At 40.7% G+C, this 23,443-nt stretch overlaps 1 protein-coding gene and 1 pseudogene across 19 annotated transcripts in view; both read left to right on the forward strand.

The window, feature by feature from the left end:
- AFG2A (AAA ATPase AFG2A) overlaps positions 1–23,443 on the forward strand; it is a 396,356-nt gene that overhangs the window by 80,409 nt on the left and 292,504 nt on the right. The window contains exon 11 of one of the 19 annotated variants that reach the window (XR_007096377.1): positions 15,676–15,763. The exons of the other annotated variants lie outside the window; for them this stretch is intronic. The gene's annotated coding sequence lies outside the window, so the exon portion shown is untranslated. The remainder of the gene's footprint in view (positions 1–15,675; positions 15,764–23,443) is intronic. 19 annotated transcript variants of the gene reach the window in all.
- Positions 20,248–22,604, forward strand: COILP2 (coilin pseudogene 2; annotated as a pseudogene).

The following is a 23,443-nucleotide window of genomic DNA, read 5'->3' on the forward strand; positions in this document are numbered from 1 at the left end:
TGGATGTCCTTTCTGTTTGTTAGTTTTCCTTCTAACAGACAGGACCCTCAGCTGCAGGTCTGTTGGAGTTTGCTAGAAGTCCACTCCAGACCCTGTTTGCCTGGGTATCAGCAGCGCTGTCTGCAGAACCGTGCATTTTCATGATCTGCAAATGCTGCTGTCTGATCATCCCTCTGGAAGTTTTGTCTCAGAGGAGTACCCGGCCGTGTGAGGTGTCAGTCTGCCCCTACTGGGGGGTGCCTTCCAGTTGGGGTGCTCGGTGGTCAGGGGTCAGGGACCCACTTGAGGAGGCAGTCTGCCTGTTCTCAGATCTCCAGCTGCGTGCTGGGAAAACCACTGCTGTCCTGAAAGCTGTCAGACAGGGACATTTAAGTCTGCAGAGGTTACTGCTGTCTTTTTGTTTGTCTGTGCCCTGCCCCCAAAGGTGGAGCCTACAGAGGCAGGCAGGCCTCCTTGAGCTGTGGTGGGCTCCACCCAGTTCAAGCTTCTTGGCTGTTTTGTTTACCTAAGCGAGCCTGAGCAATGGCAGGCGCCCCTTCCCCAGCCTCGCTGCCGCCTTGCAGTTTGATCTCAGACTGCTGTGCTAGGAATCAGCGAGACTCCGTGGGCGTAGGACCCTCTGAGCCAGGTGCAGGATGTAATCTCCTGGTGCGCCGTTTCCTAAGCCCGTTGGAAAAGGGCAGTGTTCAGGTGGGAGTGGCCCAATTTTCCAGGTGCCCTCTGTTACCCCTTTCCTTGACCAGGAAAGGGAACTCCCTGATCCCTTGCGCTTCCCGAGTGAGGAAATGCCTCGGCCTGCTTCGGCCGGCACACGGTGCACTGCACCCACTGTCCTGCGCCCACTGTCTGGCACTCCCTAGTGAGATGAACCCGGTACCTCAGATGTAAATGCAGAAATCCCTCATCTTCTGCGTTGCTCACGCTGGGAGCTGTAGACCGGAGCTGTTCCTATTCAGCCATCTTGGCTCCTCCCCACTATTTTGAATGTTTTCTATGTTATCTTTTGAGATAATCTAGTGTTTCTTAGTCTGTCAATATGAATTATATTAATTGATTTTCAATGTTTGAATCAGTCTTGTAGTCCTGGAATGAACTCCACTGGAATGTAGTATTCCTTTTGCACATTGCTGAATACTGTCTACTAATATTTTGTTGAGGATTTTTGCATATATGTTCATGAGAAATATTGTTCTGTAGTTTTCTTAGAATGTTTTTGTCTGCTTTTGATATCAGGATAATGTTGGCACGGTGAAATGAGTTGGGAAGTATTCTCTTTAGTTTTTATTTGTTGGAAGAAATTGTGTAGAATTAGTATTATTTTTCCCTTATATGTTCTCCATTGAAATCATCTGGGTCTGGAATTTTCATTATTTGGAAGGCTTATGTAAATTTTAATATTTTTACTAAATCTAGGACTATTCAGATTATCTGTTTTTTTTCTCAAGTGAATTTTGGTAGTTTATATTTTTTCAAGAATTCTGTTTCACCTAAGTTGTTGAATTTATGGCCAAAGAGTCATTCATAGTATTTCCTTATATTTTTAATATCTGTTGGATCAGTGGTATGTCCGGTCTTTCATTTTTGATATTGGTAATGTGTGTTTACTTTCTCTTTTCCTTGGCTAGAGGTCTGTCATTTGTATTGATCTTTTCAAATTGCCTTTCTTTCTTCTTTTTTTTTCTGAGACAGAGTCTCACTCTGTTGGCCAGGCTGGAGTGCAATGGCATGATCACAGCTCACTGTGACCTCTGCCTCCTGGGTTCAAGCCATTTTCATGCCTCAGCCACTTGAGTAGCTGGGATTACAGGCATGCACCATCACGCCTGGCTAATTTTTGTATTTTTAGTAGGGAAGGGTTTTCGCCATGTTAGCTGGCTAGGCTGTTCTCAAATTCCTGGCCTCAAGTGATCTGCCCACCTCAGCCTTTCAAAGTGCTGGAATTACAGGTGTGAGCCACTGCGCCCAGCCTTGTTTTATTGGTTTTCTGTTTTCTATTTTATTTATTTCTACTCTAATCTTTGTTATTTCTTTCCTTCTGTTTGCTTTATGCTAAATTTCTTCTTCTTCCTCTAGTTTCTTAAGGTGGGATGTGTGGTTACTGATTTTAGATCTTTCTTCTTTTCTAATCTAGGCATTCAAAGCCATAAACATTCATTAAGCACTGCTTTAGCGGCATCACACATATTTGATATAGTGTATTTTCATTTCCATTTAGTTCAGTATATTTTAGAATTTCCCTTGGTACATCTTTAAATTATCACAGTCTACCTTTAAGTGTTACTATACCATGTGTACAGTATAAGAACCTTAGAACAATATATTTCTATTGTTCCCCTCCTGGCCTTTGTGCTATTGTTGTCATATGTTTACTTTTGCATATATTGTAAACTTCAAAACATACTGTCATCAGTTTTGCACTAAACAGAGTATTTTCTTTTGAAGAGTTTAAATATTAAGGAAAAGTGATATTTATATGTACTCAATGTAGTCACCATTTCCAGTTCTCTTTAGTCTTTTGTGTAGATTCAAGTTTCTATCTGGTATCATGTTCCTTACTCTTGAAGTGCTTACTTTAACATTTCCTATAATGCAGGTGTCCTGGTCATGAACTTCTTCAGTTTTTTTTTTTAATATCTGAAAACGTATTTTGTTTTTATTTTAGAAAGCTATTTTAACTGAATAAATAATTCTAGGTTGACATTCCTCCCTCCTTGTGTTCTTTAATGGTTTTGCTCCACTGTCTTCTGTCTTGTATTTTTTTTGAAAAGAAATCTGCTTTCTTCATTTTCTTTGTCTTGTCTATATAACATGTCCCCCGGCCCCACCTCATTGCTTTTAACATTTTATCATTGGTTTTAAGCAATTTGGTTATCATGTGCCTTGGTAGTTTTCTTCATGTTTCTTGTGCTTTCGGTTTATTCATCTTGTATATTTGAGCTTACAGTGTTAGTCAAATTTGAAAAAAAAAATTTCTTCAAATATTTAGTGTTTGCTCTTTCCTCTCTCACTGGAGACTCAAATTACACACATATATATGGAGATTGTGTCTTCTTTTTTACTTTTTTTGTTTGGTTTTTGGTAATCTCTATCTAGTGCTGCACCTACCAGTTCACAGCCTTTTTCCCCTTTTGAAATGGCTAATCTGCTGTTAATTCCATTCAGTGCCTTTTAATATTGTGGACATTGTAGTTTTCTTCTCTAGAAGTTTGATTTTTATCTTCTTAAAATGTTATACTTTTCTACTTACTGTTTTCAATGTTTCCTTTATTTGCACAAAGGTAATGCATTTATAACTTCTAATGTCCTTGTCTACTAATCCTATCATCTGTGTACTTTTTGGATCAGTTTCAATTTATTGGTTTTTCTCTTTCTCCTTACGGGTATATTTTCCTGTTTCTTTGCATGCTTGTTATTTTTTTTTTCCATTTGCAAAGTTATTTTCTTTTACTCTCTTTTTTTTTCTTTCTTCTCTTTTTGTAAAAGGAAACCATGGTCTTGGGGGCTAGAGCGGAGTTTTGCATGCCTGGTAATTTCTGATTGAATTCTAGACATTGTAAATTTTACCTTGTTGGGAGGTGGGTTTTTTAAATATTCATAAGAATTTTAGTATTTATAAAAATATTTTTGAGTGTAATTTTGAGGTGTGGTTAAGTGTTTTGGTAACAGTTTGATCCTTTTTAGTCTTGTGTTTAAATTTTCTGAGGTGAGACTAAGGCAGTGTTTTGAATAGGGTTGATTTTTCCACTCTATTGAGGTAGGGCCCTTTTTAGTACTCTACCTAATGCCCTATGAATTATGAGTTTCCACTCTGGCTATTCGGAGGAGGCACTATTCCTGGCCCTTTGTGAGCTTTGAGTATTATTTGCTCCATTCTTTTTAGGTGCTTTTCTTTGGTCTTGTGTGTTTTCTTCACGTGTGAATATTTGGCAGCCACTTTTCCGTCACACACAGGGTTTTCTCTTTGTTTGAATCCCCACTCCCTCTGTCTCTGTACAGGGGAGCTGTTTTATTCTTCTTTCTTGCCTATTAAATTCTCCATGCCTATATATATATATGTGTATGTATGTGTGTGTGTGTGTATATGTGTGTGTGTGTGTGTGTGTGTGTGTGTGTGTGTGTGTGTATATATATATATATATATATACACACACACACAACACACACACACACACACACACACATATATGGACCTTCTGCAAATTTTAAAGGTTTTCTCCCTGGGAACTTTATTTATTATCTCCAGTACTCTACCCTGCAAACTGTAGCCACTTTGACTTTCCCATACTCCTAGCTCTGTCTTCTCAACTCAGGGAGTTTGTAGGTTCTGCCTAAGGTTTCCATTGCTGTGACCTGTGAACTTTTTCCAGTCAATAAGTTGGGAGCAATCATAGGGCTCATCTTATTGGTTTCCCTTTTCTCAAGGGTCATTGTCTTTGATTCAGATGTTCAGTGTCCTGAAAGTTGATGCTTTATATATTTTGTTTACTTCTTTTAGTTTAGTTTTTTTGTTTTGTTTTTTCCAGACATGTCTTAGTCCATTTAGTATTGCTATAGAATTTAGTATTGCTATAGAGGAATGCCTCAGGCTGGATAATTTATAAAGAAAAGAGGTTTATTTGGCTCATGGTTCTGCAGGCTGTACGAGAAGCATGGCACCAGCATCTCTTTCTGCTGAGGCCTATAGTAAGCTTTCACTTGTGTAGAAGGTGAAGGGGAGCTTACATGTAGAGATCACACGGCAAGATGAGCAGCAAGAGAGAGATGCCAGGCTCTTTTCAGTCACCAGTTCTTATGGGAACTAAGAGTGAAAACTTACTCACTCCTGGAGAATGGCACCAAGCCATTCATGAGGGATCTGCTGCCACAATCCAGACAGCTCTCACCTAGGCCCTACCTCCAATATTGGGGATCAAATTTCAGTGAGATTTGGCAGGACCAAACAAACCATATCCAAACTATAGCAAGACAGAAAGGTAAATAAATGTTACCTTTTTTACTTTATGATCAGAAACAAAGGTCCTTATTTATCCATTTTTGAAAGTCCCATATTTAATGATTTACAGCCATGCCACAGCATAGGACATATTCACATGTCCCGTGTTAAAATTGCTGTCTGAATTTCATGTACTCTTTAGAGAACTGCTTTGCAGTTTTAAGTATACATTTTTAGGAAAAAAAAGCTTATTAAGAATGAAATTTCTTCTCGTTTTGATCCTACAGAAAGAGGAATGCTCTAAGGTAAAATGGGGCATGATGCTAAAATGGGAAAAGTAGGGTAGATTGATGAAACTTAATCTGAAAACTAGCAGCAGATGTTTGAGAACTCCATCATAGGCCTGAAATAAATTTAAGGATAAGTTTAAAGGTTTGGTATAAAGTTTTCTTTAATGTCCTGGGTTGAATGTAGATGGAGAGTGGGGGGAGGTGTGAGTTCTGGAGAACTGTTAATTTGTTTGTAATTTTATTACCTATCTGTCTGTGCATCTGTCTTCATTGGGGTCCCCAAGACCACTCTCAGGCTTGATGATTCACTAGAAGGACTCACTGGACTTGGAAGCTGTTACACTCATGGTTATGATTTGTTAACACTGAAAGGATACAGATAAAAATAAGCAAAGGGAAAAGGTGCATGGGTAACGTCCAGAAGAAACCAGGTACACACTTCTAGATGTCCTTTTCCAGTGGAGTCACATGGGAACACACTTAATTCTCCCAGCAACTATGTGTGACAACAGGTGTGAAGTCACTACCAAACAGAGAAGTTCACTTGAGCCTTAGTGTCCAGAATTTTACTGGAGGTTAGTCACGTTGGTATACTACAGTGCTGGCGTGACTGACCTCAGCTATCCAGATTCCAGTACTTCCCAGGGCAAAAGCAAGCATTCACCATAAATCACACTGTCAGTATAAACTTATCTGGTCAGATTGGTACAGCATGGCCCAAGGTACATACATACTGGGATATTGTGCCTGATACTTGTTTTTATATGCACCAGTACATACCTCTCTAGTTTACTAACTCCATACTTTATTTGGATTGAATTAGTTTTTCCTCTAATGTCCTTTGTCTGTTTGAGGATCCCTTGTAGATTTTCACATTACATGTGGTCATCATGTTTCTAGGTTTCTCTGGGCTGTGACAATTTCTTTTCTTATTTTTGATGGCCTTGACGATTTTAAGGTGTACTGGTCAGGTCTTTTGTAGAATGCTTCTCAATTTGAGTTTGGTTGATGTTTTCTTACGGTTTGACTGGGATTGACGGTTTTGGGAGGAAAACCAGACATGAAGTTCCAATTTTCATCACAGTCTAACTAAGGTATAATATATATTTTGAACCTTTAATTATCTAATTTAAAAATCTCCTGGCCCTTCAGAAATACTTAATCAGATTTTAGGCCATTATGGTGCTTATATGCCAGATTTGTTCTCAGTGGCTTTTCTTATCTGATAACTTTTAATTAATAGGCAGCCTTCTTTGCAGTGGTGTCAAGATCGCTGTGCACAACTTCATATCTTTCTGGAGACAACAGGGAAAGGAAGCCAGAAGGGAGAACAGTAATTGGTCAAGTTGCAGATTAGGGAAGCTAAAATTGGTCTCTTTTACTAGATTAGAATCTGGAGTAAAACTCCAGTCTGGCCCTTCAGCATAACTTTTCCATTATTCACATATGCCTCTCTTCCTTCTACAAGCCAAATTAAAATTTAGTATTAGGGACTCCAAATGATACAAACTCATTCATTCTCTTTAATTGCCTAACTCCTACTCATTCTTCATATTGTTGCTTAAATGTCAGACCTTTTAGGAAGCTATACTTGACTTAGAGGACCCTCAAGGCCTGTCATGGGCTCTTGTAGTATTCCGTATAATTTTTTGTCTAGTCCTTAATTTAAGTATTAGTGTATGTTTTAATGTATTTTTTTTTCCCAGACTGTAAGCTCCACAATGTAGAGACCGTGTCAGTTTTATTCATTTTTGTATTCTTAGAGCCAGGCCAAGCATTCAAAACAGACATGCAGTAATATGAATATATCTGAATCAATGAGTGAATACATAAATAATTGAGAAAATGAATGGATATTAGATATTAAAACCTTTACCAACTCTACTTATAGCAGCCTGACTCTAGTTAACCATAAATACACACTTGTAACGCATGGGCCCCACACTTACCCTAAGTTATAAAAATGGTACAATTAGGTAATTTCTACCCTAAGACAGTCAGTTTTTGCTCAGCGATCTAACCACGTAGGCTTGCTTACTTCTGAGACTTGCTTGACCTATCTCATTGAACTCGCTCTGTGCCTGAGATACATGTCCAATTTCTCAAGGCAAGTTCTTCTTCCAGAATTGTCTTGTGACATACTTTGAGCCAATTCCCTAGTTGGTTCTGTACCAGTAAACTCATACCCCCAGCTATTACATGTAGCACATTCAACATTCAGGGACAAACTTTGATGTAAGTTAAACTTTTTTTTTCTTTTCTAAATATTGCCCATTAAGACTGTGTTTTAAGGATTGTTTTCTAATACTTTCTTCACTCTTTATCAGAGGTTTGTCCTCCTACCTTTTGCCTTCAAACCAAAACATCAGTAACAGTCCTCTTTCCCCAACATCTTTGTTCTCTGGCCAGCATTGATTATTCTTCCCCATGGGGGAGCTTACTTTCTAGTCTATACCTCAGGACACAGAATCTGAACTGCTTTTAAAGTTTGCTTATATGAGTTTGCTGAGCTTTCTGACCCAGAGATATCTTCTGTCTTTGCCTCGCATTTAATAAACATTTGGAACATCCCTTCAGCCAGTCTTGGCAGAGTAGGCTTTTTATTTCCATGTATACAAAAACTTTATTATCAGCTAACCATCAAAGGAAATCAGAGAAAATGGTTTGAACTTATGACCCAACTATTTGGACAGATTAGGGCTAGGAAATGTAATGCAAGGCATGTATGTATAGACTTTGTACACTTTTACATATTGGTTTCACTCGCGTCCCTGTGAAGAGACCACCAAACAAAGACTAGGGAGGGACCGACGTGTTAAAGAATGCCTGGACGTCAGGCACCTCAGACCGTTTGCCCATTTTATGACAAGAATTATCTAGATCTTGTAGGATGGAAAAATCGAAAGTGCCATTTTCTGGCTATTTGGAACCACTGTCAAGTTTATATTGGGGTCAAGCGGTGTTGGAGAAGAAAATAAAATGCTTAGATTTTAGATCAGGTGTGAGCTGAAGAGGTTTTAAGGTCTTGAGAACACAGGCTAAGGGAGAAGAAGGAGGAATGGAGGGTGGAAGGTTGCCTATAGTGAAGGAGCAAGTCCAGAGAAAAGAGAGGGTAGAGACAGAGTGAAGGGGTGGGGGGTGCTTGCCCCCCTGGAAAGTGGAGAGAAAAGAGAGGGTAGAGACACAGAGAGAAGGGGTGTGGGGTGCTTGCTTCCCAGGAAAGTGGAGAAGGGGTGGGTAGAGACATGGAGAGAAGGGGTGGGGGTTGCTTGCCCCCCAGGAAAGTGGAGAAGGGGTGGGTAGAGACATGGAGAGAAGGGGTGAGGGGTGCTTGCCCCCCAGGAAAGTGGAGAAGGGGTGTGGGGTGCTTGCCCCCCAGGAAAGTGGAGAGAAGGAAGGGTAGAGACATGGAGAGAAGCGGTGGGGATGCTTGCCCCCCAGGAAAGTGGAGAAGGGGTGGGTAGAGACATGGAGAGAAGGGGTGGGGGGCGCTTGTCCCCCAGGAAAGTGGAGAAAGGGTGGGAGGTGCTTGCCCCCCAGGAAAGTGGAAAAGGGGTAGAGACACAGAGAGAAGGGGTGGGGGTGCTTGTCCCCCAGGAAAGTGGAGAAGGGGTATGGGGTGCTTGCCCCCCAGGAAAGTGGAGAGAAGGAAGGGTAGAGACACGGAGAGAAGGGGTGGGGGATGCTTGCCCCCCAGGAAAGTGGAGAAGGGGTGGGGAGAGACACAGAGAGAAGGGGTGGGTGAGCAGCCAAAGCAGGTGTCCCCACAATTGACTTGCCACCAAGGGAATGTGGGTGAATGACCAAGGCAGGCGTCCCTGCGGTGATCAGACACCAATGAAATGTGGGTGAATAATCAGGCAGGCATCCCCGCAGTGATTAAACACCGAGGGAAGACTGTCTTCTCAAGTCTGTGACCGGCGCTGGAGTTTTCGGTCCACGGATAAAACGCATCTCCTTTGTCTCTACCAGAAAAGGAAAGGAACTGAAATTAAGACAAGGGCGAGACTGAAGTGTGGCACCAAGATTGAAAGGAGAAAGAGATTGAGGGTTAGTGAGAGAGGTTGGAGAAGAGAGTAAAGAGGCCGCTTACCGACTTTAAAATTGGTGAGATGTTCCTTGGGCTGGTTAGTCTGAGGACCAGAGGTCGTAGGTGGATCTTTCTCATGGAGCAAAGAGCAGGAGAATAGCGGACTGATCTCCCAAGGCAGGCCCCCCTATCCGAGTCACGGCACCAAATTTCACTCGTGTCTGTGTGAAGACACCACCAAACAGGCTTTGTGTGAGCAACAAGGCTGTTTATTTCACCTGGGTGTCGGCGGGCTGAGTCCGAAAAGAGAGTCAGCAAAGGGAGATAGGGGTGGGGCCGTTTTATAGGATTTGGGTAGGTAAAGGAAAATTATAGTCAAAGGGGGTTGTTCTCTGGCTGGCAGGGGTCAGGGGGTCACAGGGTGCTCAGTGGGGGAGCTTTTGAGCCAGGATGAACCAGGAGAAGGAATTTCACAAGGTAATGTCATCAGTTAAGGCAGGAACAGGCCATTTTCACTTCTTTTGTGATTCTTCAGTTACTTCAGGCCATCTAGATGTATATATAGGTGCAGGTCACAGGGGATATGATGGCTTAGCTTGGGCTTAGAGGCCTGACAATTGGTAACCTTTTTCACCTGACCACATGTATGGGTTTAATACTAACTCTCCAACTTTTTTCTTTATTTTTATTTTATTTTACTTTAAGTTCTAGGATACGTGTACAGAATGTGCAGGTTCTCAGCAAACTAACACAGGAACAGAAAACCAAACACTGCATGTTCTCACTCATAAGTGGGAGTTGAACAATGAGAACACATGGACACAGGGAGGGAAACATCACACACCAGGGCCTGTCGGGGTTGGGGGGCAAGGGAAGGGAGAGCATTAGGACAAATACCTAATGCATGTGGGGCTTAAAACCTAGATGATGGGTTGGTAGGTGCAGCAAATCTCCAACTTTTTTCTATATTGCCCATCTTAACCTCCTACCAGCTTGTCCCTCTGTCACTTTTACCCCTTCTGTTGTTTTACTTGTAAGATAATACAAGATAAATATATGTCTGCCTATTAATTTATTTCTTTACCAAGCACCAAACATATGTAATATAGAAGGTACTATGTTAGGAAGGTCCTAGTCATACACACATATAGAAAAAATAGTTTAGTTATTAATTACTCATGCCTCAAATTATCAAGAAAAGTAATCAAAACTCATTTAAACATTTTTACTATTAAAAATGATTTCTTCTAGTTTTGGGTCATTTGGTTATGTAGTATTCCATATGATTGACTTAAAATTCACTTAAGAAGCTTGTTAAACATATACTTAGCTCCTGGGCTTAGGGGTCAATCAGTAGAATCCCCTCTGTCTTCCCTCTGTTTTTAGTTTCCTTGTTTTTAGTTTCTATATTTTCCATATTCCTTTATCTTTCCCAGTTCTGCTATGCCATGGTAAGAATTGCAGGAGTTACTAAGCAGTTTTCTTAAATATTCAAAGCATTTGCTGGTGATTATAGGGAAGTTATTCAAGGAATTTGGTAAATTAGAAAAAGCAAAATATTTTCATGATGTATGAAGAATTTTGTAGGCGAGTTTTATGCTGTTGTCATATCTGAGTCTTAATTTTTGTTACTTTTTTAAGTTTCCATTTTTTATGAGTTTTTTTTCTTATACTTGTTCATCTGACAAAAGTAGGTAGTTTTTTAAAAGCTCATTGTGTAAATGGTTAACCATTTTTAAGGTGAATTAAGACATACATTTTTGTAATCTAAGGGAAGTTACTTGGATAATTTATTATATTTATAAGGTTTGACTTCATGCATAGCCAGATCTGAGGACAGTGCTAAGTGTGATTGTAATGTAATTATATTTTAGAAATTGAGCTAAGATTTTAATATAACCATTAAACTGATTATTGAAATCTATACAGTTTGAAAAAAAATTACCTTTAAGTTGATAATATTTTTCATGTTTTTTTCAGATACCTATATTTTTTAAACTTGACTAATTCCCATCTTAATGTCTTTACTTATTAAATATGACATCTATGAACATCTGGCCCTCTTAGCTATTATATGTTTAGTGAGGTTCTCAATGTTATTTACTAAAGAGCAACAAATCCCAACAAATCAAGAGCAATTAGTGGCCCAGTTTTGGTGTATAGTTTCTTATATTCTTTCTAATCTAGTTTTTTAGCTTTCTGTACTCCCATCTGTGAAATTGTTAGATGTTTTCAACCTAAGCTTGCTTATGGAAAATGGAAATAAAACAGAAAGAGGGGAAAGGCTGGGAGAAAAGAGAAGCAAAGACCTCTTTGAACACTCAGCCCTTCCCACTCACCCTGTGCATAGCACTTCACATTTTTACTTGTCTGCACAATCTGTCTGCTTTTCATTGGTTTTCAGAGTCCTCGAGTGATTTTTGTATTTTGTCTGACATTTTTCTTTCTTTTTTTTTTTTTTTTAATTGATCATTCTTGGGTGTTTCTCACAGAGGGGGATTTGGCAGGGTCATAGGACAATAGTGGAGGGAGGGTCAGCAGATAAACAAGTGAACAAAGGTCTCTGGTTTTCCTATGCAGAGGACCCTGCGGCCTTCCGCAGTGTTTGTGTCCCTGGGTACTTGAGATTAGGGAGTGGTGATGACTCTTAACGAGCATGCTGCCTTCAAGCATCTGTTTAACAAAGCACATCTTGCACCACCATTATTCCATTTAACCCTGAGTGGACACAGCACATGTTTCAGAGAGCACAGGGTTGGGGGTAGGGTCACCGATCAACAGGATCACAAGGCAGAAGAATTTTTCTTAGTACAGAACAAAATGAAAAGTCTCCCGTGTCTACCTCTTTCTACACAGACATGGCAACCATCCGATTTCTCAATCCTTTCCCCGCCTTTCTCCCCTTTCTGTTCCACAAAACCGCCATTGTCATCATGGCCCGTTATCAATGAGCTGTTGGGTACACCTCCCAGATGGGGTGGTGGCTGGGCAGAGGGGCTCCTCACTTCCCAGTAGGGGCGGCCGGGCAGAGGTGCCCCTCACCTCCCGGACCGGGCGGCTCGGGTGGGGGGCTGACCCCCCCACCTCCCTCCCGGATGGGGCGGCTGGCCGGGCGGGGGGCTGACCCCCCCACCTCCCTCCCGGACGGGGCGGCTGGCCGGGCAGAGGGGCTCCTCACTTCCCAGTAGGGGCGGCCGGGCAGAGGCGCCCCTCACCTCCCGGACGGGGCGGCTGGCCGGGCGGGGGGCTGACCCCCCTACCTTCCTCCTGGATGGGGCGGCTGGCTGGGCGGGGGGCTGACCCCCCCACTTCCTTCCCGGATGGGGCGGCTGGCCGGGCAGAGGGGCTCCTCACTTCCCAGTAGGGGCGGCCGGGCAGAGGCGCCCCTCACCTCCCAGACGGGGTGGCTGGCCGGGCGAGGGGCTGACCCCCCCACCTCCCTCCCGGACGGGGCGGCTGGCCGGGCAGGGGGCTGATCCCCCCACCTCCCTCCCGGACGGGGCGGCTGGCCGGGCAGAGGGGCTGACCCCCACCTCCCTCCCGGATGGGGTGGCTGCCGGGCAGAGACGCCCCTCACTTCCTAGACGGGGTGGCTGCCGGGTGGAGGGGCTCCTCACTTCTCATATGGGGCGGTTGCCAGGCGGAGGGTCTCCTCACTTCTCAGACAGGGCGGCTGGGCAGAGACGCTCCTCACCTCCCAGACGGGGTCGCGGCCGGGTAGAGGTGCTCCTCACATCCCAGACGGGGTGGCGGGGCAGAGGCGCTCCCCACATCTTAGACGATGGGCGGCTGGGCAGAGACGCTCCTCACTTCCTAGATGGGATGGCGGCCGGGTAGAGGTGCTCCTCACTTCCTAGATGGGATGGCGGCCGGGCAGAGACGCTCCTCACTTTCCAGACTGGGTAGCCAGGCAGAGGGGCTCCTCACGTCCCAGACGATGGGCGGCCAGGCAGAGACGCTCCTCACTTCCCAGACGGGGTGGCGGCCGGGCAGAGGCTGCAATCTTGGCACTTTGGGAGGCCAAGGCAGGCGGCTGGGAGGTGGAGGTTGTAGCGAGCTGAGATCACGCCACTGCACTCCAGCCTGGGCACCATTGAGCACTGAGTGAACCAGACTCCGTCTGCAATCCCGGCACCTCGGGACGCCGAGGCTGGCGGATCACTCGCAGTTCGGAGCTGGAGACCAGCCCGGCCAACACAGCGAAACCCCGTCTCCACCAAAAAAATACGAAAACCAGTCAGGCGTGGTGGCGCACGCCTGCAATCGCAGGCCCTCGGCAGGCTGAGGCAGGAGAATCAGGCAGGGAGGCTGCAGTGAGCCGAGATGGCAGCAGTACAGTCCAGCTTCGGCTCGGCATCAGTGGGAGACTGTGGAAAGAGAGGGAGAGGGAGACCGTGGGGAGAGGGAGAGGGGGGAGAGGGAAGGGGAGAGGGAGAGGGGGGAGAGGGAAAGGGAGAGGGAGAGGGAGAGAGAGAGGGAGAGGGGGGAGAGGGAAAGGGAGAGGGAGAGGGAGAGCGAGAGCGAGAGCGAGAGCGAGAGCTGACATTTTTCTTTTTAATCAACGGGAGAGAGTCTATAGTTGCCTTATGGCACCATAGTGAAACTGGAACTTTTGACTTCTTTTTTTTTTTTTTTCTTTAAATCTTCATAGAATGTGTCTTTACAGCATGGGAAATTTTTTTTTTTTTTTTTTTTTTTTTTTTTTTTTTGCTTTTCACTATATACAGCTAATGGCTTTTACTTATTTTCATTTAGATCTAAGAACACATTTTAACAGTTACTGCTTCCTAATCTTGCTTTATCTGTATTAAAGAAGCATTTGGAAATTTATAATTGTTCTTGACCTTGGAGGTTGGTTTTCTCAACCTTTTTTTTCCTGCAATATGCAGTATCTTTAGTAATTTGGTACACTTATGATTTCTAAACAAAATATGTGTCTTTTGAACATTGTTGAAAAGTTAGTGTATGACCCCACAAAGAATTTGGAACAGGTGCCAGCCCAATTGTGACTGCCTGACTTCTTGTCCTTACACTGGGAGTTGTTAGCATGAAAAAACAAAATGTCATGGCATTTTCTCTAAAATAATACTTTGAAAAGAATTTTTGTCCCTGGTGGTAAAAAACTTGGCACCCAGCAAGCAAGAGGATCTTGACTCATAGATGTATAAAAACATTGTCAGTGCCCCTGGAGCTACGGAATTCCTCTCTCATAGTAATTTTTCTAATGTCTGTAGCTCAGTTCATTAATTTTTATTTTGCTGCCTTGGAATTTGTCCATAAAAGTATTTTTTTTTCTATTTATTTTTAACCTGATCATCAAGTTCCTTGGCTTCTATGGGTGTACAGTTTGAATTTTTGTTGTTGTTGTTTTATTTTGTTTTGGGGTGTTTGGCTAGGAAGAACTAACTATAGGATGTTTGTCAGGGACATGTTCCTTGGGAAATTTATCTCACTGCTCTGTGCTTGTTTGACAGCTGTTCTTGCACTTCTGACTTTAATTCAAAAAGTTATAAAGCCATATGTGAGCAGCTGTTCACTGTTTTCATTAGGGCAAAATAAGATCGGATGCAAATATTATCAGGAATGATTTAGGTTATATTGTAAAAATAATTTAGACTATATTGTAGGAATAATTTTACGGTAGTTATGATATATTGTAAGTTATTAAAAAGAAGGTTCTAGAATTAAAAACAATTTTAAGCATAAAGTACTATTTGTTGAAAGATGAGAGGTGTTGAAAGATGATATACTGTCTGAAGGTAGGATAGTGAAACAGCTAGCTTTTGAATTCCTCTTCTAGTTCTAGGATTTTATGATTTCATGGTAGTGTTTATCCTTCTCTACAGACTAACTTTTCCCATGACTTCCTATGCTTTAGAACTCTTCTGTGTAATAATAAGCTTTTTTTTTTTGAGACAGAGTCTCGCTGTGTCACCCAGGCTAGAGTGTAGTGGCATGCTCTTGGCTCACTGCAACCTCCGCCTCCCAGGTTCAAGCGAGTCTCCTGCCTCAGCCTCTTGAGTAGCTGGGATTACTGGCATGCACCACCACGCCCAGCTAATTTTTTTTTTTTTTTGTATTTTTAGTAGAGATGGGGTTTCACCATGTTGGCCAGGCTTTTTAAGCTGATTCATATTTATTTGTGAATTATTATCATAGCCATAGAAAGAGTTATCATTTTTTTGGCTTTCAGGTACTAAAATCAAAATGCAAAATTGGTTTGCCTTTAGTTTAAAGTGATCAGAACAAAAAAAAATGAAGATAATTTAATGGCTTATCTTTTTCAGTAGTCCTCCAGAATACAAACTTTATAATCATCTCTCAGACATTTAAATAAAGTATCTAGTATTTATTAAATATTTACCACATGCCAGGCAAAGTACAATTAATTTAACATATGCTCTCCTGTTTAATTCTCACAGTGATCCTGAGACCTTAGGGTTTATTATCCCCATATTATAGAAGAGGAAAAAGTTTAGAGAGTTGAAGTAAATTACCCAAAGTCACATAGTAAGTACTGGGTCTGAGATTTGAACCCAAGACCATTTTTTTTTTTACCAAGTTCTAAATTTTAGAAGATATTTACTATATCAAAAAAGTATGAAGTTAAAAAGAATCAGAATGTAAAATTGTGAATATGTTAAACCATACATACACATGCACACATGTGTGTTTGCATTTGGAGAGGCTAGAAGGTCCTACACCAAAATATTAACAAGGATTACTTTTAGGTATTGGCATACAGATAATTCTTACATCCTTCTTTATAATTTCTTGTAGGCTATACTTCTTATATCTGCTATTCTCATAATCAACAAGGTGGGAATTGCTGCTATTTTTATATTCTAAAAACTTGACATCTTACATGTATGCAATTTTCAAATCTGTCTTCACTGTCTTATTTGAGAATTATAAAGCTGTTTTTCAGTAGCTTTTGTATTAATTTGTGTAAAGACAGATATTTTATATATTTAGAGACTCTCTTTTAGGATACTTTTCTTATTTCTCTTTCTAGATTTCAGATTTTTTGGACATTATTGCACTCATCTTTGTGCCCCTACAGTCTCTAGGACAAATCCTGCACATAGAAGACATTTCTTAAAATTGATTGAATTTATTTCAGTAGTAAATTTTAGCCACAGTACAATAGTTGGAAAGAATAAACGAATTACAGTTGTAATAATAAAGGAAACTTAGGTTAAGAAAATTTCCTAGATTTGTTAATCAGTCATTTCTCTAACTTTGTCACCTAGTTCTACTAGGTGAATGGGTGGTTCCCTGACAACGTTGGGCACCCATCAAGGCTTTTTTTGTTTAGTTTTGTTTTTGTTTTTGGCTGAACCTTTTAACTCCCCATCTGCGTCATGCTTTTCTTTTTTTCTTGACCACAGCTTCTAGGATCTTAGTCTGCTTCCTTGTCCTCATGCTTTTATATATACATACAAACACAAACACACACACACACATGCACACAGACACACACACGAGTATGTCAAATGATAAAAGTAATGCAGTTTCACTGTAGAAAATTTTCGTAATACCAAAAATTATTATGGATAATATAGAAATTGCTTGTATTCCTATCACTTTAAAAATAACAATTTTTGAAAATACATATATGTGTATGTGGTTTTTTTTTTTTTTCTGAGACGGACTTTCACTCTTGGCGTTCAGGCTGGAGTTCAATGGCGCGATCTCGGCTCAGTGTAACCTCCGCCTCCCTGGTTCAAGTGATTCCCTTGCCTCAGCCTCCCGAGTAGCGGAGTTTCCAGGTGCCGGCCACTATGCCTGGCTAATTTTTGTATTTTTAGTAGAGGCGGGGTTTCACCACGTTGGCCAGGCTGGTCTTGAACTCCTGACCTGTGTGTGTGTTTTAATTGGGATTATAATGTATTAAAATCTTTATATTCTGCTTTTTTATTACATAAATTTTCAGAAAATATAAAATATCTTCTAAAATTTATTTAATTTCTATATGATTGTCCATTCTTTAAGTATTCTATAATTCATTTAATAGTTGTTTGATGTTTAGCATTGAGGTTGTTTCTAGGTTATTTTCTGTCATACAGAGTGTTGTGCCATGAATCTTTGAAGAAGAAATCTTTTTGTATTTCCTGAACTGTTTTGGGAGGATAGTCTAGGAAGTAATATTACTAGGTAAAATGTATGAACTTCTAAAATATGTTGCCAAGTACATTTAATAAACATTACGATTTTTTTCTTCTACCAGTGTGTGACAGTGTTGACTCATTGTCTATCACTGGCCTTGAGAAGTCCATATTTTACTCTTCGCTAATTTTATAAGCTGAAAACAGCTTTTCACTATTTTAATTTGGATGTTTTGGCTTTGATTAGTAGAGAGTTGAGCTTTTTACCCCCATAGTTTGATTTTGCATTTCTTTTTTGTATCATCCATTTCCTCTTATATTCCATACTTGTAACGGTACCTTTCCCAAGCTAGTTATTTAAGCTTTTTTTAAAAAAAAATTTTAATGATTTTTGAAATGGACTCTTTGAGCTTTTTTTTTTTCTTTTTTTACCTTTTCCCTTTTTAAGATTTTTATTCTTACCTATTAGGAAGACAACAAGGTATATCTAATTACATGACAAACAGTCTTCACCAAGAAGCCAGAATCTTAAATTTATAGCTCACTGTTGCCATCTGAGATATAAATAGAACTTCAGTTACTGTGTGTTGCTTTCCATTAAGTCTACTTCCTTGCTCTTCTTAAACCCCACTACTCCTTCTTTAATGATAGCCCTTCTACGAACACATGGATCTTAATAGACTATAAGAATCACTTGATTGATGTGTTTCATTTACATTTTAGAGAACTTCCATAATAAATAAAAGCTCTCTCAGTGTGTCTCACAGAGAGATTATCCCACAAAGAAATGTTCCTCTTTGAGCATTTTCTTATATTTCTTCCTGTCTTCAAAATAAGTCAGATCATTTAATTTATTTTAATCTTTTCTGTTAAATGCCAGTAGTACAAAGTCTCCATATAGTCAGCAGTCCTAAACAGCCCAGGAGAGGGGACCTCTATAATAATGGAATGCCAGTAACCAAAACAGCATGGTACTGGTACCAAAACAGAGATATAGATCAATGGAACAGAACAGAGCCCTCAGAAATAATGCCGCATATCTACAACTATCTGATCTTTGACAAACCTGAGAAAAACAAGCAATGGGGAAGGGATTCCCTATTTAATAAATGGTGCTGGGAAAACTGGCTAGCCATATGTAGAAAGCTGAAACTGGATCCCTTCCTTACGCCTTATACAAAAATTAATTCAAGATGGATTAAAGACTTAAACGTTAGACCTAAAACCATAAAAACCCTAGAAGAAAACCTAGGCATTACCATTCAGGACATAGGCATGGGTAAGGACTTCATGTCTAAAACACCGAAAGCAATGGCAACAAAAGCCAAAATTGACAAATGGGATCTAATTAAACTAAAGAGCTTCTGCACAGCAAAAGAAACTACCATCAGAGTGAACAGGCAACCTACAGAATGGGAGAAAATTTTCGCAACCTACTCATCTGACAAAGGACTAATATCCAGAATCTACAATGAACCCAAACAAATTTACAAGAAAACAAACAACCCCATCAAAAAGTGGGCAAAGGATATGAACAGACACTTCTCAAAAGAAGACATTTATGCAGCCAAAAGACACATGAAAAAATGGTCATCATCACTGGCCATCAGAGAAATGCAAATCAAAACCACAATGAGATACCATCTCACACCAGTTAGAATGGCAATCATTAAAAAGTCAGGAAACAACAGGTGCTGGAGAGGATGTGGAGAAATAGGAACACTTTTACACTGTTGGTGGGACTGTAAACTAGTTCAACCATTGTGGAAGTCAGTGTGGCGATTCCTCAGGGATCTAGAACTAGAAATACCATTTGACCCAGCCATCCCATTACTGGGTATATACCCAAAGGACTATAAATCATGCTGCTATAAAGACACATGCACACGTATGTTTATTGTGGCACTATTCACAATAGCAAAAACTTGGAACCAACCCAAATGTCCAACAATGATAGACAGGATTAAGAAAATGTGGCACATATACACCATGGAATACTATGCAGCCATAAAAAATGATGAGTTCATGTCCTTTGTAGGGACATGGATGAAATTGGAAATCATCATTCGCAGTAAACTATCTCAAGGACAAAAAACCAAACACCGCATGTTCTCACTCATAGATGGGAATTGAACAATGAGAACACATGGACACAGGAAGGGGAACATCACACACTGGGGACTGTTGTGGGGTTGGGGGAGGGGGGAGGGATAGCATTAGGAGATATACCTAATGCTAAATGATGAGTTAATGGGTGCAGCACACCAGCATGGCACATGTATACATATGTAACTAACCTGCACATTGTGCACATGTACCCTAAAACTTAAAGTATAATAATAATGATAATAATAATAATAAAAGGAAGGAAAAAAAAGGGTTAAAACTCCTTTCAGAACTCTTTGATGAAGTCCCATGATCACTACCTGGGTGAGGGGTTCAACTGTAATCCAAACCTCAGCGTCACACAATATACTTGTGTAACAAACTGCATATGTACTCCTTGAATCTAAAATAAAAGTTCAAATAAAAAAGAAAAAAATAATAATGAAATGCCTGTAGAATATTTGTTTATTATGATTGGAGATTCCTAAATTGAGAGAAAGAACTTCCTCCACCAGTTAGTAATGAAATGCAGAAGTGAAACTGAGTATCCTATACCTATAATATTTCCTTCTAACTCTTTCTTTGCCATTGTCACTAGGAGAGTTGGCATGCAAAAACATCTTGAGAGTTGCACATTTTAATAAATTATTTACCTTTTCCACACAGGCCTTGATAGTCATATAAATTCAGTCTTGCTCAGAGTTGTCCAATCTTCTGGCTTCTCTTGTCCACATTGGAAGAATTATCGTCTCGGGCCACACATAAAATATACTAACACGGGCTCCGAGCAAGATGGCAGCCTCCGAGCCGGTTAGGCTACAGCTTCAATATGATTACCCACTGCCAGCTACCCTGCACTGTACGGCCTTCCTGGCTTCTGGTTGACTTGAACAGGCGCCGAGTTGTCACAGATCTCATTAGTCTCATCCGCCAGCGATTTGGCTTCCGTTCTGGGGGCCCTCCGAGGCCTCTACCTGGAGCAGGGGTTCCTGCCCCCCACCGAGAGCGCATGCCTGATGAGAGACAATGACTGCCTCAGAGTTAAATTAGAAGAGAGAGGAGTTGCTGAGAATTCTGTAGTCATCAGTAATGGTGACAGTACTCATTTATCACTTAGAAAAGCAATGAAGTGGGCATTTAAGTTAGAGGAGGATGAAGAAACTAACCCAGATTACAACTATTCAAAGAAGCATTGGAAGAAGCAAGAGTACAATAACAATAATGAGAAGGTCTTGGATCTAGAACGAAAAGCGGTCACAGATCAGACTATAAGCAAAAAAAAAAAAAAGAAACAAAAGAAAAAATAAAGCAACCTGTGGCACAACGGGTGATGATAACGAACAGACCCCCCAAAAAAAAATCACCAAAGAAAAAGGAGAAATGTGAATATGAAAAAAAGGCCAGGAATCCCAAGTCACCTAAAGTACAGGCAGTAAAAGACTGGGCCAATTAGAGATGTAGTTCTCCAAAAGGCTCTGCTAGAAACAGCCTTGTTAAAACCAAAAGGAAAGGTGGTGTAAGCGTTTGCTCAAACGAGAGTCCCAGTTCCTCCTCGGAGTCTGAGTCTTGTCATGAATCAATCATGATGGTCCCAGCAAAGTCACTTTGGAGGCCAGAAATTCCTCAGAGAAATTACCAACTAAGTAATCAAAGGAAGGACCCTCTACCAAAAGTACAACTGCAGACAAACTGGCTACAAAATCTGGCTTTAGCCTTAACCCCCAGCAAGGGCAAGACCTCTGGAACATCATCTTCTAGTTCAGATTCTGGTTCAGAGTCAGAGGTGAATGCTTGATGTCATCGAGCACCCCGGAGTGTGCTGTGGATTTCTAAAAGACAGTAGGCCTTTTTGCAGGAAGAGGTTGTCCAGGCCCTGGGCTGTCATCACAGACTGCAGGTGCTACTGGATGGAAGCGTTCTGGGTTAAATGGTGGCAGACAGGCTCCTGGTCCTTCTCCCAGTGTGTCTCTCCCCAGTTTAGAAAGAGGATGGGGTAGAGGAGAGAACCTTTTTTCTTGGAAGGGAGCTAGGGGACGGGGAATGCGGGGGAGAGGTCGAGGACAAGGGCATCCTGTTTCCTGTGTTGTAAATAGAAGCACTGACAACCAGAGACAACAGCAATTAAATAAAGTGGTAACAAATTCATCTACTGTTTTCCAGAATCCGGTAGAGACACACTAGAAGGACTGTATGGTCTGTTACCGCTGTTAACAGCTGCCCCTCAAGTTGGAGAAAAGATTGCATTTAATCTTTGGAACTAACATCCAGTTACACTCTTCTGTTGTCTCTGATTACAAGGAAAAATATTAAGCCACAATCCAGAGACACAGCAAGTAGATACAGAAATTCTTTCATCCTTACCTGCCTTGAGAGAACCTGGGAAATTTGATTTGGTTTATCACATTGAAAATGGAACCGAGGTAGTGGAGTATGCTGTGATGCAGGAGAGCAAGATCACTGTATTTTGGGGAGAGTTGATTGATCCAAGACTGATTATTGAATCTCCGATTAACACATCAAGTACAGAACCTGTCTGAATATGACCGCTCCATCTTATAGTTTATGAATGTCTTGTTTGTGAAAGTGACTATAACTTGAACTTTTTTTTTTTAAGAGGATTTGAAAGTTGTATGGGTTTTTTTGTTATCTTCACTTTACTGCATAGGAAACAATCTACCTCATCATTTAAAATGACATGGGTGTCGGTTTTGTAGACCTTTGGTTTTTTTGTCAGGTTCAATTTCAGTTAACAAAATGTAAAACATGACATTCCCTGCAAACGTTGTTGTATACCAATATGTATGGTTTCTTCTCTTTTTTAAAAGTTTTTGACCATCAAGCAGCAGTTGTCAGTAGGAGTTTATAATACCAAGAATGTGCTGCATATCTTGTCTCATTAAGTTTTAAGTAACATTTAAAAATATTAAAGCATGTTACTTGACCTAATTTTATAGCATTTGAGTTGTCCCATTAAATGGAGCATCTCGTAAATTTCAAGTATTTTATACTTGGCAATGGTTAAGAGTTAAAAGGTAGTTGGATTTGTCACAGACAATGAGTTAAGGAATCCTTTCACGTTTTTCCCAACTTTAAAATTAAGGATTCTCAGGGCCCTGTGTAGAGCAGTAAAAATAAGACCTCGTGTATGTGTATGTGTGTGTGTGTGTGTGTGTGTGTGTGTGTATGTGTGTCTGTCTGTCTGTCTGGAGGAGAATTGATTGGTGTTCCACTTGGGTGAGAGGGTTGGCTGTGAGCCTCAGACCAGGAAATGTGTCATCTTGCCAAGCACCTGGCTGAGTGTGCTGGAGTGAGGATTTGAACAGAAACTTCCTTTTCTGTTATTATTCACTACAAAGCTTAAGTGGCCAAATATATACTGTGAAAATTGGTTTCTTTTAACAAAAGATCAGATCCCTCCTTCAGCTGTACACATTTTTAAATAAAATCATATAGAACTAAAAAAAAATACTAACACGAACGATAGGTGATGAGCTAAAAAAAATTGCAAAAAAATCTCATAATATTTTAACAGACTTTACCAATTTGTGTTGGACTGAAGGTTGGCCAAGCTTGGTTTAGCTTAAGTTATATGGATTATTTGTACAACAGAATTGAGTTGATTTCTGCGGTATTTTGAAGAGTGAAAGTGGTTTTTTAAATTTGTACTGTACTTATGTTATAAAGCAATATGAGTAATATACTTTATGTGTGAGACCTTACGTGCTCTAAGAAATACTTTTGTTAAGGATTTATATTTATGGTGGAGTATTCGTTACAACATGGGGTCTATACATACTTGTAAAGAAATTAAGGATAGAGAATGCATCACTCAGACCCCAATCTTTCCATTCATATAGATTGATTAGTCATCACATAGTCCATATTTTTCTACTATATTCAAGTCCCAGTTGACACCTTATGCATCATATTCCTTAGTTCCCAAACATGTTCCCTTATTTCTTTTCATGTAACTTTT

The sequence above is a fragment of the Homo sapiens genome, chromosome 4 (genome assembly GCF_000001405.40).
Source record: "Homo sapiens chromosome 4, GRCh38.p14 Primary Assembly".
Taxonomy (NCBI): Eukaryota; Metazoa; Chordata; class Mammalia; order Primates; family Hominidae; genus Homo; species Homo sapiens.